Raw genomic sequence first — 18,995 nt, forward strand, 5'->3', positions numbered from 1 at the left:
TTGAAGCTGTTAATCATCCTGCTGAAGGCTGGATTCGCAGAGAGAGAAAATGTAAAAGGGCTGCTTTATGATATCCATGGATGTGCCCTCATGGCCGTGAACTTCAATAGTTCTTAACTTTACTTGCCTAAGTAAGGGAAAACATAATAAACCAGCAGGCAATTTGAAACATTAGCAGACTGTTATATTTCATCTGAATTTTAGGTCTTCACTTTTGTAACTCAGGATTTTATGTGAAGCTATATTTCTTTAAAGATGGCAGCATTTTCTTCTCAAAATGAGGATCAAGACTATGGTATCTTTACAGTATTAAAAATAAACTGTGCTTTGGACCTGCAAAGAAATATTCAGATGTCATAACCTGAAAATAACCTCTGAATTTTCCCACACTCTAACAAATCTCCAAACTGCCAAATGGATATGCACCAACATTTCCAGATTCCCCTGGGAACACATTTGAGAATGCTTAGTTCCAAAGAAAGAAAACGTTAGGGGAAAATATCCACACTCAAAAAATAGGGGTTTACACCAAAAGTGCTCTCCTGTCAAAAGAAAGTATCTCAAGTGTAACATGGTAAAAAATATATATACACACAAGATAAATTATTTATACAATATGAAGTTCAGTTGTAATTCAGTGGCTTTCTTGTCCACAAGTTAACACTTCCATTATATAAAGATGTTTAAAACAACAACAAAACAAAAAAGTTACACCTCTCTTCATTTATTCGTATATATTATTATTTGGTGAAAGAAAAACACAATTATTTCTATTCTGTCTTTACTGAAAGGAAGACAAAGAAATAAAAGTACCTTCATTTTTTTTCCCCTTTCTCCTTCTGCTATGCTTGTCTTGCCAAACCCGATCCCAGTGTAAGACCAACCAAATCATTCTTTACGCCTGCTCCTGAGTGGCTGAACATTGATGAAAATCACCTAAACTGCAGATTGATGCCACTATAAATACTTGGTTGCCTCCCCATCTACAGGACAATCTGATGGACTAGCTCTTCCACTCTCCACAACTGTTTCATATTGTCATTTTCTTCAAACATCTTATCACTTCCTATTCTAAATATGTAACTTTGAATAATATTTCCTCTAGAAAATGTGGGCAAATCATGACCAAAACTCCAATGGGATTTTATAATGGAATATAAAGCAATTATAAACACTGTCCAGAAAAGTAAATACATAGGAATAATCAATAAAATGAGAAAAACAAGAAAAATGGGAGTAATGTTGACCTACCAGTTATCAAACAAATTATAGAGCTACCATAATTAAATAATGTTAAATTCCTGCTGGAATAGACAATACATCAATGGCACAGACCAGAGACCACATGTAAGGGTAAAATAAGATAAAGGTAGCATTTCAAAATGATGAGAAAGGATAGGATATTTAACAAATGGTGTTGAAAAGTTGGCTATCCATTTGAAAAAAATAAAGTTATATGTCTACTACTCATCAATTTTAAAAAGTTAAATAGATTTTAAAAGCTATACATTAAATAGAAAACAAAATTTCAAAAGTACTAAATGGACATATAAGAGGGTAGTTATAATTTTCTTAATGGGAAAGGCCTTATAAAGCAAGACTTAACCCAAGAAAAAGCAAAACTTTGTTTCTGTACAGTTCTGCCTAGCAAAGCACTGATGCTCCTTCTTTTTCTTCCTGTAATAGCAGTCTTGCCTAGTACCCAAGGATTAACATTACTCTCTGTCCCTCCTCTTAATGCATCTTTTTATCTTTAATGGATTGCACGGGGCCTGGCACAAAGTATGTGCTCTAGGCTTATTGATTTCACTTGACTGAACTCAAATTACTTTGATTGTGCTACAATCCTGGGGAGAAATAGACTTTAATCATCAATACTTAATAATACCCAAATGATAATAATCCTTCCTCATTTATAAAAAAGTTTTTCATAGTTTATTTTATGAACCTCCTCTCCCCTTCCACACAAAAGCCCCCAAAACACTAGAAAGTAGGCAGGAAAGATGGTAGTAGTAAGGTTCTCAATTTACCCCCCTTCCCCATCCGCTGCTTCAGAGACATTGAGCAATTTCCCCAAGATCTTGGTCTGGGTCTCTTCCAGTTAGGTCATGCAGTCTCTGATTACAATTTGTTGCAAAAAGCCAGGTGGGGCATTTGAGATTCCATTCCTTAATTCTACAGAAACACATAGTGTCTAGAAAAATAGGTTAAAAACTAATGTGTAAGGCCTACCCTCTTTTTCTACAGAGATGGCACATAATCCCTGCTAAAAATACCCAAGCCAAGTCACGTCATCATTTTTTTGGTTTTTGTTTCTGTTGGATGGGGTTGCATCTTGTGCACCATTTCAAATCCTCCTGATCTCACCTCTTAGTCCAGCCACTGCGCCAGGATCCCATTTTGAGCCAGTTTCAAAGGTACAACCTGACATGGCCTTGTCTCCTCCTACACCTTCTACCTTTCACTTCCTCCCCTGAGGCTCTGTGGTGTCCACTTGGCATTTATGTGTATGTAACCCTGAAGAGAGGGGAGTCAGTGCTCGTGGACCACCCCTGATAGATGGGAATGGGAACCTTTGGGTAAATGCTGCCCCTTTCAGTTCCCAGGGTGGACAGTTCTGAGACACATTTCATAAGTTTCCTCAGGAGGTTGTGTGGGTCAAGGCTGCCTGCAGCCCTGAGCAACTTAGTGACCCGAATTTGCACTGGACTGCCTCCTTCCCCTCCTTCTCCTCCTCTGTCCTGCTCCCTGGGATCACATTCCCAAGTGTACAACAGGGGAGCCATTGGCTCAGGCTCTTGTTGCGGGGGCGCCCAGGCAGACTGGGGCTAGCCATTTTCTTTTAAAGGAGATTATTGCTGTACAATACTTTCTAACATTTGTTTCATACTTTCAAGCATCCCTATTTCATAGTCACAACAAACTTATGAGAGAGCCACAACTATTTCCATTTGATAGATGAGGAAACTGAGGCTCAAAAGAAGTTAAATAACTTGATCAGGATCACAACAGCGAGAGGATGGTGGAACCAGGACTCAGCAGAGGTCCTCTGAGAGGGGAGGTCAGGGCCCTCTTTGCTATAACACAGCTGCCTCCTATCAAAATATTTGCAGAGTGCTTTGATGTCAGTGCCTTGCACTCTGGAAAGTGCTCTTCCTCGCTTATCAGCCCTCTGCTGTAACACTCACAGCCGTTCCAAACATGTCCCCGCTTTTTCTAGCCACAGACACATTATGCACAGATGATTTTTTTATTGTGAACAAGTACAAAGGAATAGATCAGTAGCTGGAGAGGAGAATGTGGGACAAGGAAAGGGGGTTTTGAAGGTGAGAAATATGAGCAGATGTATATGCTAAAGAGAATCACCCAGACTAGAGGGAGGGATGGATGATGCAGGAGAGAAAGAGTGAATGAGAGGCGATAGGTCCCAAGGTAGAAATAAAGAGCCTGTCTTTCGAAGACATGAGAGTCAATTCCTCTGTTACAACCAGAGGGCAGAAGAAGAAACTCCTATAGATAAGTTCAGGTCTCTAGGTAAATGGCGATCTCCCTTATTCAAAAATACAAAACAAAGGGATGTTCTTTGGGTCCTATGCTGCACACTTCATGAACACAGGGGCCATGTCTGTAGCCCAGTACTGATATTTTAGAAGGCTCTCAGTAAACATTTGTGGTTGCTGAATAAATAAATATGAGTAAACATACATTCCCTTTACCACCAAAAACTTCTGAGACTAACACTAAATGATTAAGAAATGAACAAAAATGTCATTAAGAATTTTAGTAAGAGTTCAAATGACCCACAGATAAATCAGTCCTCGAATCCTTGCTATTTAATATCGGTACACATGAGGTCCCCAGAAAACTGCCACAACTGCCCGAGTATGGGGTGGTGGAGTCCTCACCTGGCAGCAATACCTGGGCAAAACAGATACAGGGGTTGTAGTAGACAAAGAGCTCAAGCTGAGTTCGTAGGGTGGGGAAACAGTGAAGAGGAAGGAGATCCTCAGCTTCCTGTCCCAGGTGAAGAAGGGCTTCTACGGCCCGGGAAGATGGGCACTCCATGCCTACCCCCAGCTGGATGAAGCCATGTAGTAGTGTCCAGGTGCCACCCTTTCAAAGGCACATGCCGGAGCGTGCTCAGTAGAAAGCAAACATGCTCTTTACAAATATACTGGAAACATTTCCCTATGAGGACCACTAAAGGAACTGAGTATGTTTAATCCAAGCAAAAAGACTCAAGAGGACCATCATAGTAATTTTCAAATATGTGAAAGGCTGTGATCTTTCCAGCACAATCCTTTTAAAACCTCTGAGTCAACCGCTCTTTGACCTCAGTTGAGCCTCCAATTGATTAATCCTACTTCCTTTTTGCTATCTCACTTTCTTCGTTGGTTAGCTCAGATTTCAAAGGCCAACATGGTAATCAATGTTGTGTTTATACCCTCAAATTTCTCACTCTCTCACCTATTTGGTGCTTGCTTCAGTGATAAAGGGGGGCAGGAGAGGGGGAGTCAAAGGCCCAGGCATGGGACAGGGCAGCCATCTAGGGTCCAAGACCTCACTTTCAATTCATGAAAGGGAATCTTTCTTCCCCATGCCTGCTGTTTTCTTCCATGTGGGGACATGAACTAGTGTCACACTCCTGGCTTCCTTCTACTCTCCCACTTGCCCTTCTCTACTGCACTCCTGCCAGATGGAATAACATACCTGATTAGTGGCTTTGGAAGGAGAACTGAGCCTGCACCAGATGGGGACACCTTCCTTGCCTCTCTCCTCTTGGCAACAAGCGCCTACAAGGAGCCACTCATTTCCTGACCTATTTCCTCCATGCTGTTAGTTTCAGAGAAGCCTCTCTTGGAGAGGTCTGGGAGGGTTCACTGAAGCTTGGGTCTGGATGGGTAAGCCTGTCTAATTCTGGTATTCAGTAAGTGAAAGGTCAAATCTAAGCCACATTTCCCAGCTATTAATGTCTTTCCTTCTAAAGGGAGCTTGCTGCCTTCGATGAGCATTGATTTCCCTCTGTTCATGGAGGATGAAGGCAAAACTCCCAATGGAATCAACCTTTTCTTCTCTCCCTCTCTCTCTCTTTCTCTCTTGTCTCTACCCACCAACCAGTCTGTCCCTGGAGAGAACGTGCCCTCGACTGCACCTCTGCACCAGAGGCTTGGATAGGTGCAACACAAATGCTTGTCAGATCAAATAAAATAATGATGTTATTATGTCTTAAAGAAGACCATGTTTGAGGGGTAAGAGAAAAATGGGGTCTGGAGTTTGGTGCTTAATCTTAAAGACCCAACAATAACATCAAATTTTAAGTGATCTCAAACCCTTCGTGCTGCCTGGCAATTCCAGCTGATTTCCTCAGTCAACTCACTCTTCCAGTCAAGAGATTATTTCACTGATTCTTCTCTCTTCTCAAGCCCTCTTGCTTTTAACTCTTGGGTTTGCTTCTTATTTTCCTGAAAAAATAAAAGCATAGTAAGACAGCTTCCGCATATGTACCACTAAGTCCACTAAATGTCCACATCTGTATCCTCATATGCTGTCTGCCCTCCTATTAACAATGCAAGGCTCCTTCTGTAACTATGTTCTTCTCCAAGGCCAGCCCTCACCTGGGCCCTGTGTCTCTTCTTCCGCCATGCAATGACCTTGCTCTTACCATCATCCCCTCTTCTGCATCAGTTTCTCTCTTTCTACTGGATTATTCAGATAAACATACAAATGTACTGTGATATCTCCCACCCTTAACAAACAAACAACACCTTTCTCCTACATATCCTCTTCCAGTTGCTGCTTCATTTTTCTGATTCTCATTGTGGCAAAATTCCTTGAAAAAGTTGTTATATTTGCTGTCTTCACCAACTCTTCCTTCATTTTCTCTTGACTATATTCCAGTCAGGCTTTCCTCCCCATCCTTCCACATCCCCCTAACTCCATTGTCAGGATAATCAATGAACTCCACATTGCCAAATCCAGTGACCAGCTCTTGGTTCTCATTTTACTTGACCTATTAGCATTGTACAAATCTGATCCGGCCTTCCTCCTTCTTCTTCATTTTTATTTGTTTTTTTTTTTTTTTTTTTGAGTGGTTTTAGGTTCAGAACAAACTTAAGAAGAATGAACAGAGATGTCCCCCCTCCTTCTTTTTTTTTTTTTTGAAGACAGAGTCTCACTCTGTTGCTCAGGCTGGAGTGCAATGGTGTGATCTTGGCTCACTGCAACCTCTGCCTCCCAGGTTTAAGTGATTCTCCTGCCTCAGCCTCTCAAGTACCTAGGATTACAGGTGTGTGCCACCACACCCAGCTAATGTTTGTATTTTTAGTACAGACAGGGTTTCACCATGTTGGCCAGGCTGCTCTCGAACTCCTGGCCTTAAGTGATCCATCCACCTCAGCCTCCCAAAGTGCTGGGATTACAGGTGTGAGCCACCACACCCTGGTCCTGCCTGGCCCCGTCTTCTTCTTTAAAGTCTGCTTCATCAGTTTCTGAGTCATCCTTCCCTATAGGTACTTCAATCTCAGTGACTACCCCTTCTCAATCTCCTTTGCTGGGTGCTGCAGCTTCCTGAATTCTGAATGGGAGAGTGCCTAGGGCTCCAGCCTCAGACCTCATCCTTTCTTCAGCCATATCTCATTTGGTCTGTGGCTTTATGTACCAGCTATGTGCTAAGTCATAAACATTAAAATTCCAGTATGGGCCCCTTCCCTGTACCCCAGACAGATCTCAATCACCTTCTCAACACATCTTCCTGGATGTCTAATGAGTGTGTGAAACCCATGTGTCAAAACTTGAACTTCTGATCTTTGCCCCTAAACCTATAGACTTTCCCATCTCAGTAAATGACAACTTCACTCTTCTAGTTGCTTTGGAAAATCTCCTTCCTTTTCTCTTCCTCCTGCTGCTCCTTGCCCCAAGGCCTTTGTACTCTCTGCCCGAGATGCTCTTCCCCCTAGTTATCCATCCACATGGCTTGCTTCTTCCTCTCATTAGGGCATCTTCCATAATGGCATCATCTCAGAGAAAACTTCCCTGACTAAGAAACAAGACCCTCTTTCTCCCCACAATCACCCCTGCTTTGTTTTTCTTCAAAATACTTGTTCCTATTTGATATTAACCCTATTATTGTTTAAAGTGTATCTCCCCCCATCTCATGCCAGTTAGAATGGCGATCATTAAGAAGTCAGGAAACAACAGATGCTGGAGAGGATGTGGAGAAATAGGAGCGCTTTTACACTGTTGGTGGGAGTGTAAATTAGTTCAACCATTGTGGAAGACAGTGTGGTACAAGGATCTAGAACTAGAAATACCATTTGACCCAGCCATCCCATTACTGGGTATATACCCAAAGAATTATAAATCATGCTGCTATAAAGACATATGCACACATATGTTTATTGCGGCACTATTCACAATAGCAAAGACTTGGAACCAACCCAAATGTCTATCAGTGATAGACTGGATTAAGAAACTGTGGCACATATATACCATGGAATATTATGCAGCCTTAAAAAAAGATGAGTTCATGTCTTTGCAGGGACATGGATGAAGCTGGAAACCATCATTCTCAACAAACTACCACAAGAACAGAAAACCAAACACTACGTGTTCTCACTCATAGGTGGGACTTGAACAATGAGAACACTTGGACACAGGGTGGGGAACATCACACCCCAGGGCCTGTCGGGGGGTGGGGAGCTTGGGGAGGGATAGCATTATGAGAAATACCTAATGTAAATGACGAGTTAATGGGTGCAGCAAACCAACGTGGCACATGTATACATATGTAATAAACCTGCACGTTGTGCACATGTACCCTAGAACTTAAAGTATAATAAAATAAAATAAATCTCCCCACTGGAAGGTAACTTTTTGAAGGCAGCAAGTTTGAACACTTTGTTTACTACTCTGATCCCTAACACTTACAACAGTATCATTTAAAACATAGCAGCCACTTGGTTTAAGAATGAACTTCCAGGGAGTCAAAGTTGTTCAAAAGCACAAGGCTGCTTCAGAAAGCTGCCTCTCAGAGTCATTGCATTAGGCAAGCAGTGACCATCTGGGCGGGCATCAGGGACATGAATAAGTATTGGGGTTAACTGAACCCAAGACTCCATGATTCTGGGGGATTGTGCTCCCTGAAGTCATCAGTAGCTCCCTGAACAAAGAACCCACAGGTCTTTCTCATTTATAACACTTACAGATGAAGTTTTCTCTCTCCTTTCCCTCGGCTTAAGAGGCAGCACTGAGTTGACCAAGTCCTCCACCCATTCTCTGACCACCACTCAGACAGACCCCTTTGCTGGCTCCTCTTTCTCTTGCTAGCCCTTTAAACCTGTGTGTTGCCAAACAGTTTTTTTACTTTAACACTCTCTCTAAATGCCTGTTAATCATTATCTAAGATGATAGCATGAGAAAGATTGCAAAAATGCTAGGAGTAATATTTAAAAAGCACAATACATTTTGCTTTGCATGTTGGTGAAGTCTCCTGATTTTTATTCAGAAGACCTAGGCTTGAGCTACTTACCCATTTTGTGTCTGGGGTCAAGACTCTTAACTTCTCTAGGCTTCTATTTCTGCATTTATAAAACAAGGAGAATAATATCTCACCTTACATGCATTATCTTAATGTATGAGGTTTGGGTGATACATGTGTGGATAGGTTTTATAAAATATCATCTGATCTATAAATAGAGATTTTATTATGATAGACCATAAAAAGGGGTCACTAAACCATTGTCTATAGAAGATAATAATTGATATAGGGCTGGGCATGGTGGCTTACACCTGTAATCCCAGCACTTTGGGAGGCCAAGGTCGGCAGATCCCTTGAGGTTAGGAGTTCAAGACCACCCTGGCCAACATGGCAAAACTCTGCCTGTACTAAAAATATAAAAATTAGCCTGGTGTGGTGGCAGGTACCTGTAATCCCAGCTACTCAGGAGGCTGAGGTACGAGAATCTCTTGAACCCAGGAGGTGGAGGTTGCAGTGAACTGAGATAGCACCACTCCACTCCAACCTAGGCAACAGAGCAAGACCCTGTCTCAAATAATAATAATAATCATAATAATAATTGGTATAGGCAATTGTCTTTTCATGTCTGTGTCTGTAAGGAGAAAGTCGTACTTGTAGGCCTGTGATTGTTTTTAGGCCCTCTCTCAAGATCCAATCAAATCAGTAATGCACTGTAACTGCCCATAGACCCAGGCTTATAGCCTCAAATAATCTACAAATATGCAACCAAAATAATTAAGCTGAAGTGCTTCTTTTGTCCAAATAAATCAGGCCACTTTTTCATATATAGAAATTAACAGTTCCTGAATCTTTTTTTTTTTTTTTTGACAGGTTCTTGCTCTGTTGCCCAGGCTGGGGTCTAGTGGTACAATCATGGCTCACTGCAGCATTGACCTCCTGAGCTCAAGCCGTCTTCTCACCTCAGCCTCCCAAGTAGCTGGGACTACAGGTGCACATCACCACATCCAGTTAATTTTTAATTTTTTGTAGAGACAAGGCCTCACTATGTTGTCAGGTTGATCTTGAAATCCTGGGCTCAATTGATCCTCCCACACTGGCTCTCTGGGATTACAGGCATGAGCCACTGCACCCAGCCCCCTGAATCTTCCTTGACTTCATTCACACCAGCCCTGCCTGTTTGCTGAAGGTTGCTGGAATCTGGCTGGATCATCTTTCCAGGAAAGGGGGCTTATTTGGGGTTTCAGGCAGGCATATCAGCACATTCCTGTATAAGACTAGGGGAGTTTCAGCATATTCCAGGCTGACCTTTCCTTTCAGTTGCAGATCAGACAGAGTCAACCTTAGTTTTATTTAGTTGGTTTATTGTTGTTGTTTTCCCTCTGTGACATAGAAGCGTGCACTTTGAGGGGGAAAAAAAATCCTACCTGTTTTACAGTTAGTTCCATGAGAAGCCAAACTAGTTATTAAAAGTAAGAAATATTTTAAGTTGCTCAGCTGAAATTTTAACAGCTCTTGTCTAATCGTTAACATACAAACCTCCCTAACCAGAATATTTGTGGGGGATGACTTCTTAACAGGATCTAAAATCAGCAGTTTCCCAAAAAGCCTGTTAAAAATTACACATCTGGAATTTTGTCCTAGTCTGACTAGGCTGCTGAATTCCCTTTTGATGTTTCCTGGGGGGTGGGGAAGAGATAAATAGCCTGATTTCATTTAATGTAGTACATTTCTTTGAAATCTGGTGTCAAATTTTGAGTATTTGCTGAAAGGTAGGGTGACCAATCATCCTGGTTTTCTTGGGATTGAGGGGTTTCCAAGGACACAGGATTTTCTTTGATTTGGGAGGCCAAGTTGAGCTGATCATCCTAAAAAGGAAACCCTAGTCCAAATCACTCACAGGACAGGTGAAGAAACTGAGGCCCAGCAAGATGAAATCATTTGCCACCATATTACATAGTTAGCCAACACTGACTGCATTGCTGGGACCAGAACCCAAATCTTCTAAGTCTTAGTTCAAAGCTCCACTGACCCACTTGACTTCTCCAAACTTAAGTTTGATGACTGGTTTGTCGGTATTTGACTGCTTTATTTAATTTATATGTGAGCAGAGGAAAGCGATAGTCCAAGTACATTCTAATCAGTGATCATAAAGACACAGATGTTCTAAAGCAACATAAAAGTAACATCTACTGAACACCCATGTTCATAACAGCATTACTCACAATAGCTAGAATGTGAAAGCAACCCAAATGTTCATGGATGGATGAATGGATAAGCCAAGTGTGGTATATACATACAATGAACTATGCGATTCAGTCTTAAAAAGGAAGGAAATTCTGACATTTGCTTCAACAAAAATGAATTCTGGGACATTATACTAAGTCAAATAAGCCAATCACCAAAAGACAAATTCTGTATGATTCTACTTTTATGAGGTACTCTATGAGTGGATACTTACAGATCTAAGATATAAATACTATACTTAGAGTATTTGTCTACTCTAAGTAGTCAAAATCACAGAGCCAGAAAGTAGAATGGTGGTTTGCTGTCAGCTTGAGGGAGGGAGGAATGGAAGTTATTGTTTAACAGGAACAGAATTTCAGCTTTGTCAGATAAAGAGAGTTCTGGCTAGGCACGGTGACTCAGGCCTGTAATCCCAGCACTTTGGGAAGCCGAGGTGGGCGGGTTGTTTTAGCCCGGGAGTTTAAGACCAGCCTGGGCAACATGGCAAGACCTCATCTCTACAAAAAAAACAAAAAAACAAAAAAACAAAAATTAGCCAGGCTTGCTGATACATGCCTGTAGTCCCTGCTATTAGGGAGGCTAAAGTGGGAGGATTGTTTGAGCCCTGGTGTTTGAGGACGCAGTGAGCTATGATGTTGCCACTGCACTCCCAGCCCAGGTGACAGAGCGAGTCTCAAAAAATAAAAGAAAGAGTTCTGGAGATGAATGTAATGATGGTTGCACAACAATATAAATGTACTTAATAACACTGAACTGTACACTTAAAAATGGTTGATAGTACATTTTATGTTGGATCTATTTTATCACATTTTTTTAATGGAAAAATAAAATAATAACTACAAATAGCTCATCTATTCCATTGGTGCAATGTTTCTGTTAAAGAGGTCTGCAAAGTGCTTTGCAGCCATTTATTAGCTTTGGGATGTTTTGTCAAATCAAACCACATTCTTTAGATAAGGAGTTTGGTTTGCTTTGATATTTAGTGACCTTCCCTTAGCTAGGGCATAGAATTTCCAGATGTGCAACACTCCCAACTTCTAGCTGCAAGCTCACAGCCTGGCACATAGTAAGTGCTCCATAAACATTTTTTAAATAAATAAATAACAGCAAGGACTAATATTTATTTGAAGCATTTATTCAGAGGTGGGTTGAACTTGAAGCTGGTGACGCTTAAGCTTCAGGATGTCTCACTTTAATAAGCCTTTTTCTAGACCTTGTGTGCGGGCGAGGGGAGGACCTGAGCAATGTGTTCACATAGTCACATATTCATATAAAACTTGCAAAAGTAAGATTTATCTTCTTTTCATTAAAGAGGGCTTCCGAAGTTGTGTAGTCTTCAAGTCCCATGAAACCCAAATCTGTCCCTGTACTTACTGCCTTTCTAAGTACTCTATGAATTCCTTTCCATGGTTTCCTCATGCAATTCTCACAACAACCCTATGAGGTAGAAGCTATTATATTCACTTCTGAGATGAGGAAATTGGGCAGCTCCACCATGGTTACCCCATGAGGGAGTGATAGGCAAGGACTTTCACTCTGGCATTTGAGACTAACTCTACAACTCCACTGAACACTAGGGATGGCCAAACCTAACTCTAGCTCATGTTAAATTAGGCATGTAGCCAGGTGTGGTGGTGCGTGCCTGTAATCCCAACACTTTGGAAGGCCGAGATGGGAGGATCTCTTGACCCCCAGAGTTCGAGACCAGCCTGGGCAACACAGCAAGACCTCATTCCTACGAAAGAGTTAAAAATTAGCCAGGTGTGGTGGTGCATCCCTGTAGTCCCAGCCAGTTGCGAGGCTGAGGTGGGAGGATCTGTTGAGTGCAGGAATTTGAGGCCGCAGTGAACTATAATTGCACCACTGTATTCCAGCCTGGGTGATGGACCAAGATCCTGTCTTAGAAAAAAGAAAAAAAATTAGGTGTGGTCTTGGTAAATACTACAATTTCACCTGATGTAACTGTAATAGCAACAATTGCATGATTGGCTGGTCTTTAAAAATAACCTGTGATTTGGGGAAAACATTTATTTTACAGGTTTTTTCCTGTCCCTATAATACTCACTTCATATTTTTGTTTGGTAAGATAGAAGGAAGTTTGGGAAAGGGGAAAATGAAAAGGGCAAGGCCAAAGAGGAGAAAGGAACAGAGATGTCATCCTATGTTAAGGAAGATTCTCCTCGCCCCCTCCACAGTTTCTTTCTCTTTCTTTTTGAAGGATGTGCAAGGGTGCTTTGTCTCTTGGGGAGTTCCACTCCCGTTTCAACTGTTCTCTGAATCTGCTCAACTTCTGCATTAGAGTCCCTATTTCTAGTCTGACAGTCCTACAAGTCAAAGGGCAGAAAGGAATCTTTCCTGTAAACATCCTCTGGGCCACTCCTGGAAAAGGTGACCAGCAACCACCGCTTCCTGTCTTTATTCTGACTCTTGGAGCAAATAATACAGTTTTCTATTCCTCTAAGATTTCTTGGAGCCAATAGGAGAACAGAACTGAAAACGTCATAGGACTGAAAATATCCTCCTATTGAGGATGCTGCTTTCTTTAGATTCAGGTTCTCCGCTTTAAAAAGTCATTCCCACCCCTGGCTTCCACACAGATGCTGGGGATACGCACTGTGCCTGGCACTTAGGAAATGCTGCTCACTGACTCCCACCTCCTCAGAGAGGTGCTGCCATTAACCCAAAGACAACCCCTCCCCAGTTTTGTGTCCCCCTCCCCCACTGCCCAGAGTTTTCTGTCTTGATTTCCCTATTTCTGACTGCAGTGCAGTTATCACCCAGCTGGTCAAACCCCAGGGTCACTCTGCCCACCCTTCGCTTCCCTCAGACTTCATTAATCACCAAGTACCATGGGATTTCCTTCCTATTCATGCCCATACTCATTCTCTGTTTTCCATTTTCTTTGCTGATACTTTGTTCAATGCCCTGCTTATTTTGGGCCTGGGACATTACAATTGCTTCCTGGCGGGGTTCCCTGCCTTTAGAGTCGCTCCCTGCTAAAAGTGGATTTGTCATGTAGCTAACAAATCTCAAGCTCCAGGACAGATGCTTGTACCTAATTTTGTATCTTGTGACTTTATATTCTCGATCTGCCCCACCCCCTATCCATTTGGCACTCAGCTGCCAGATTAATCCTTTTTACAATAGGTTTTATTTTTTGAGCAGTTTTAGATTCACAGCAATATTGAGCAGAAAGTACAAAGAGTTCCTGTGTGTCTCGTGTCCCCAGACACACACACAGCCTCTCTGATTATCAGCATCCCACATCAGTATATTTGTTTCAGTCAATGAACCTACATTGATACATCATTATCTCCAGAAGTCCATAGTTGACATTGAGTTTAATCTTTTAAAAATACTATTCTTTCAGCTGGGCGTGGTGGCTCACGTCTCTAATCCCAGAACTTTGGGAGGCCAAGGTGGGTGGATTATCTGAGGTCAGGAGTTCGAGACCAGCCTTATCAACACGGTGAAACCCCATCTCTACTAAAAATACAAAAATTAGCCAGGTGTGGTGGCGGGTGCCTGTAATCCCAGCTACTTGGGAGGCTGAGGAAGGAGAATGGCTTGAGCCTGGGAGGCGGAGGTTGCAGTGAGCCAAGATCGTGCCATTGCACTCCAGCCTGGGCAACACAGCTAGACTCTGTTTCAAAAAATAAAAATAAAAAATAAAAAAATACTATTTTTTCATATCACTGGTCTGCTTTAAAACTATTCATAAAAATGCTGACCATCAGGACATATTTCAGAATTCAAGGAAAAAATTGAAAAAATAAAATAAAATTCTGTCCATATCTCCAAAGTCTATGTCCTTACTTGGATATTCAAGGCTTTCCACGATCTTCCCCAGCTTTCAACCTGATTTCTCAAGAGTCATCTGCGCATGCCCTTTGCAGGGGGTGCTCTTCACCGACTCCTACCCGCTGTCCCCATCATCACATCTGTGGCTCTGCTACACGTAAAATCTGATTGAATTCAACTCCACAAAAATGTGCTGTGACTTACTTAATCTAGGATGTCTATCTGCCTCCATTCTGACCATGAAAAACCCACCCAGTTTACTATGCCAGTCCACGAGCCCCTCCTGGCTGCAATCCTGTTTGCCTCAATAGCAGTAGTTTCTAGCTTGAGAGGGGTTGAAGTGGACTAGTAAGACTTTTAAAAACAATAATAAAGTACAGGGAGGCCGAGGCAGGCAAATCACCTGAGATTGGGAGTTCGAGGCCAGCCTGGCCAACATGGAGAAACCTCGTCTCTACTAATAATACAAAATTAGCTGGGCGTGGTGGCATATGCCTGTAATCCCAGCTACTCGGGAGGCTGAGGCAGGAGAATCACTTGAACCTGGGAGGCGGAGGTTGCAGTGAGCTGAGATTGCACCATTGCACTCCAGCCTGGGCAACAAGAGCAAAACTCTGTCTCAAAAAACAAAAACAAAATAATAAAGTACAACATCTGATTGTCAATTTTTTATTCTGCCAAATAAGAACTTAAAAAACAACTACCACCATCACAGTATCTTATTTTAAAAAAGACATTTACTAATCAAAAAGCATAAAAGGCATAATATCAGAATAACTGTTGGTTCTTCAAATGTAATTCACTTAGCTTTAGGAAAAAAATCATTTTTAAAAAAAATTGTATGACTGTCTGAGGTACTGAAAACTGTTCAGACTGGCATTTGGGAGTGATTCTACAGTGCTTCTGGTCTCCACCACCTGTTTCGCATTTAATCACAGGCTGCCTTGGGGCACATTTTCATTGTTGCCTCTCTATTTAACTTCTTGTGCACATATGTTATTTCCCCAACTGGAAGGTAAGCTTTATAAGGAATCTGTAAAAGGACTGCACGCTTAACTTTCCAGCAAGGCTTTGCACACAGAAAATGTTCAATAAATATTTGTTGAATGAATGAATCAACCTTTTCTAAGCCTGTGCTAACCAATAAATCTCCTCTTAATGAGATCTGAGCGCCCCATCCTGAGGCAATTTCTCTCAACAGACTTCTTTAAAATGAATTATCCAGTACAAATTGCTTTACTTTTGAGTGAAGCCTAAAAATAAAAATTGTTTAAACCTGATATGAAAAGTAAACAGTTTTTTCCTCAGGGCAGTAGCAAGCCCCAACAGGGAGGAGAATCAAGACACAAACACACTTCTGTACCCGCCATTTAATTGATCCTAGTTATTTTGGGCTTTGTTGGTAGGCATGCACACAGTCCATGCTTCTGGCTTGACTTGACTGCATAGGGTGGTTGGCATTCTTTCTGGGGCTCTCACCCCTGTGCCTAAAGCCTCCACGATAACCATGTTGTGCCTTTCCCTCTCTCTACTCGGGTAACTTGGAAAGAAAGGTTAGGAAGAAGCTTAACATCTGGCTAGCCAAGCCTTGGTTTTAGATTCCAGAGTTGATACAGAGCAATTCAGAAAAGTGTCTTTTGGATTTAAAGCATTGTTTTTGCTCAGGATCTCGAGTTACCTTCAAAAAATTTAAATAAGATAAGGCCACATCCTTGCTTAAAACATTCATCAACTTTCAATTCAATTCCATTCAACGGCTATTGATTGAAGACCTGGCCCTGAAGAACAGAGCCGGAATGCCAGGCCCTGTTCTAGATGTTGGGGATATGTCAGTAAACAAAGCAGACAAAACTTTCTGCCTCACCGAAGCTTAGAGGGAGGTAGGAGTGAGGTGGGGGAGACAAACAAGAAAGATAATGAATAAATAACATATTATTTCTGTGTTAGAAGGTGATAGATGCAATGGAAACTAATTGGAGCAAGGGGGTGTTGCAATTGGGACGGGAGGGACAGAGGAGGCCTCGTTGAGAACGTGGGTGGAGCAAAGGCTTGGAGGAGGTGAAAGGTGTGGCCATGAGACCATTTGGGAGAAGAGGAAATGCCTTCCATATCATGACCTCACCCAGCACCCTCTCACCCTGTGGCCCTCCCACACGGATCTCCAGCAGCCCCTGCAGTCTCCTCCCCACCTCCAGGCTTCACACACATTGTTTCATCCTCAGGACTGTATTTTCCTTCCCTGTCTCTTGACCAACTCCTCATCCTTCCGACCTCAATCTAAATGCCACCTCCTCTGGTGGGCTTTTTTTTGCTGCCCCTCATCCATTATAACTTAGATGCCCTGCCACAGTCATAGCCCTCCCTTCAGATACTTAATAAATACTGTTTGAATGAATGAACAAAGAAAAGGGCTCAAAGCGGGTGTTGAGGACAGGGATTCTGACTCATTGATTTATCCCCAGTGCTGGGCACATTGTTGAAGGTATTTGGTAGACTTTATCTTCATAAATAAGCTCCATTATCAAGGATGGATAGAATGATTATGTTATGGCTTACTTAAATTTAAGCATAATAATACTATAAACAAGATTTGTTAAAGGGGGAGTGAAGCATTAAATTGTGTTACGGGGAATGAATTCCCTCCTTCCTTCACTTTTTCCAATGAAGCAGGCCTTGGTTTCAGTCCTTGGCCCAGACGAGCCCTTTTCAAGGAACATTTCCCACCAGTGACGGTGCCTTCCTGTCTGAGATCAGCATGTCCTTCAATTTATTCTGCAACTCAGTCAAATTAATTAAAACTAGATTTGTCCTGAGAGTTTGTTCGTTAAGATGTCACTGTATATCAAATTCCCAATTATCTGGGATAATTAAAACATCCTAACTTTTTCCCCGAATTATTTATACTTTTGGGAGTATCCCCTTGTAGGGTTCAGGACACACTACCCCAAAATATGGCACCTTGGCACTTCAGAAAACCCCAGAGGCAGGAAGGTTACTCTCACCTTCCCCTTGCCTTTCTCTTAGAAGCAGGTCATAAAACCTTCTTTCCAGAGGTGCCCACCCTGTAGCCAGGGGGAAGGAACGTCCCTGTCTTTGAAGACACAGAGACACAGAGAAGAATCTGAACAAACAAGCCTTGCTAAGTTCCCCCTAGTTTATTAGCATTAGATCATACAGTTTTGTCTAATCATCTCCACAATCATCCACTTATTCATCAAACTTAGCATAAAAACCCACAGGTTTCTCTGTCTCTTTGGATCTTCATTTCCGAAGCTATGCCATATAAAACTTACATATTAAATACATTTATATGCTTTTCTTTTTTTAATCTGTCTTTTGTTATAGATGCCTCAGCCATGAACCCAGCAATGAGTGAGAAATTTTTCCTCCCTTACACTCCAAAGGTATATTTTTATTGCTATTTGCTCAGGAAATGCCATAAGGATGATTTAACGATTTCAAATCACCACCTCATTTGACATGCATTTTAGGTAACATAAAAATCATGCAATATGATTGAAACAAAAGAAATTAATTAGAGCAAAGAGAAAAATACAAGCAAGGCAGTAAAGTGAAACAAGAAATAAAACCACTCACCACTCACGACACGGAAATTCCAACTGTAAAGACTCAAGTCTTTTCTGGAGGGGGATCACACATTTGGCTCTGAGCAATGAAGAAAACAGACAAGTTATAGGATTCACAGTGTTTTATAACATACATACCACGGTCTCAGGAGCCTTAAGACCTGAAAGACGTTTCTCCCATATGTCCTCAAAAGGGACACTGATGTCATGAATGACACTTAAAGCAGATGAGTTTCCAATAGCTGTTTCTTATGGTATCACTCCAGGAGCCTTTAACCTAGGGCCTAATGACAAAGTGAGGTCCTTTAAAATTCAGTTCTCTGAGGGAATGACATGATGCAGTTCACAAATGAAGTTTTTTAAGTATCTGACTTGATGCACAGATAAAGTTTAAAATATCTAAAATATCTAAAAGAAGGCCAAGTGTTGTGGCTTCCATTTGTAATGCCAGCACTTCAGGAGGCCGAGGTGGGAGGCTTGCTTGAACTCGGGAATTTAAAACCAGCCTGGGCAACATAGGGAGACCCTTTCTCTTTAAAAAGTGTAAAAATTAGCTGGGCATGGTGGCTCATGCCTGTGGTCCCAACTACCCAGGAGACTGAGGCAGGAGGATTGCTTGAACCCAAGAGGTCAAGGCTGCAGTGAGCTGTGATCACCACCACTGCACTCGAGCCTGGGAGACAGAGTGAGCCTCCATCTTGAAAAAAAATAAAAGAAATAAAAGAAAAAGGAAAGGAAAGGGAAGGAAGGAAGAAAGAAAAAAAGAAAGAAAAGAAAGAAAGAAAGAAAAAGAAAGAAAGAAAGAAAGAAAGAAAGAAAGAAAGAAAGAAAGAAAGAAAGTTGGATGGCCTGCATCTCTCCCTAAATGTTGTTTTCTCCAATCAAAC

At 41.7% G+C, this 18,995-nt stretch overlaps 1 protein-coding gene and 1 long non-coding RNA gene across 6 annotated transcripts in view, besides 1 other annotated feature; one reads left to right on the forward strand and one right to left on the reverse strand.

Annotated features, from left to right (window-relative positions):
- The window catches only part of ARHGAP29 (Rho GTPase activating protein 29), a 145,688-nt gene extending 137,384 nt beyond the window's left edge, over positions 1–8,304 (reverse strand). Inside the window, exons 1-2 of one of the 2 annotated variants that reach the window (XM_047434754.1) lie at positions 8,202–8,304; positions 5,378–5,462 (exon numbers count right to left, since the gene is read on the reverse strand). The gene's annotated coding sequence lies outside the window, so the exon portion shown is untranslated. The remainder of the gene's footprint in view (positions 1–5,377; positions 5,463–8,201) is intronic. The other variant, XM_047434759.1, reaches the window with a different exon arrangement.
- ARHGAP29-AS1 (ARHGAP29 antisense RNA 1) overlaps positions 1–18,995 on the forward strand; it is an 86,939-nt gene that overhangs the window by 58,421 nt on the left and 9,523 nt on the right. The gene's annotated exons all lie outside the window — the stretch shown is intronic.
- Positions 10,885–11,179: an enhancer, noted in NCBI's record as "tiled region #2220; HepG2 Activating DNase matched - State 5:Enh". NCBI's record gives its function as "activates a minimal TATA promoter and a strong SV40 promoter by Sharpr-MPRA in HepG2 cells {active_cell/tissue: HepG2}" and the evidence as "EXISTENCE:reporter gene assay evidence [ECO:0000049][PMID:27701403]".

The sequence above is a fragment of the Homo sapiens genome, chromosome 1 (assembly GCF_000001405.40).
Source record: "Homo sapiens chromosome 1, GRCh38.p14 Primary Assembly".
In the NCBI taxonomy this organism is placed as follows: domain Eukaryota; kingdom Metazoa; phylum Chordata; class Mammalia; order Primates; family Hominidae; genus Homo; species Homo sapiens.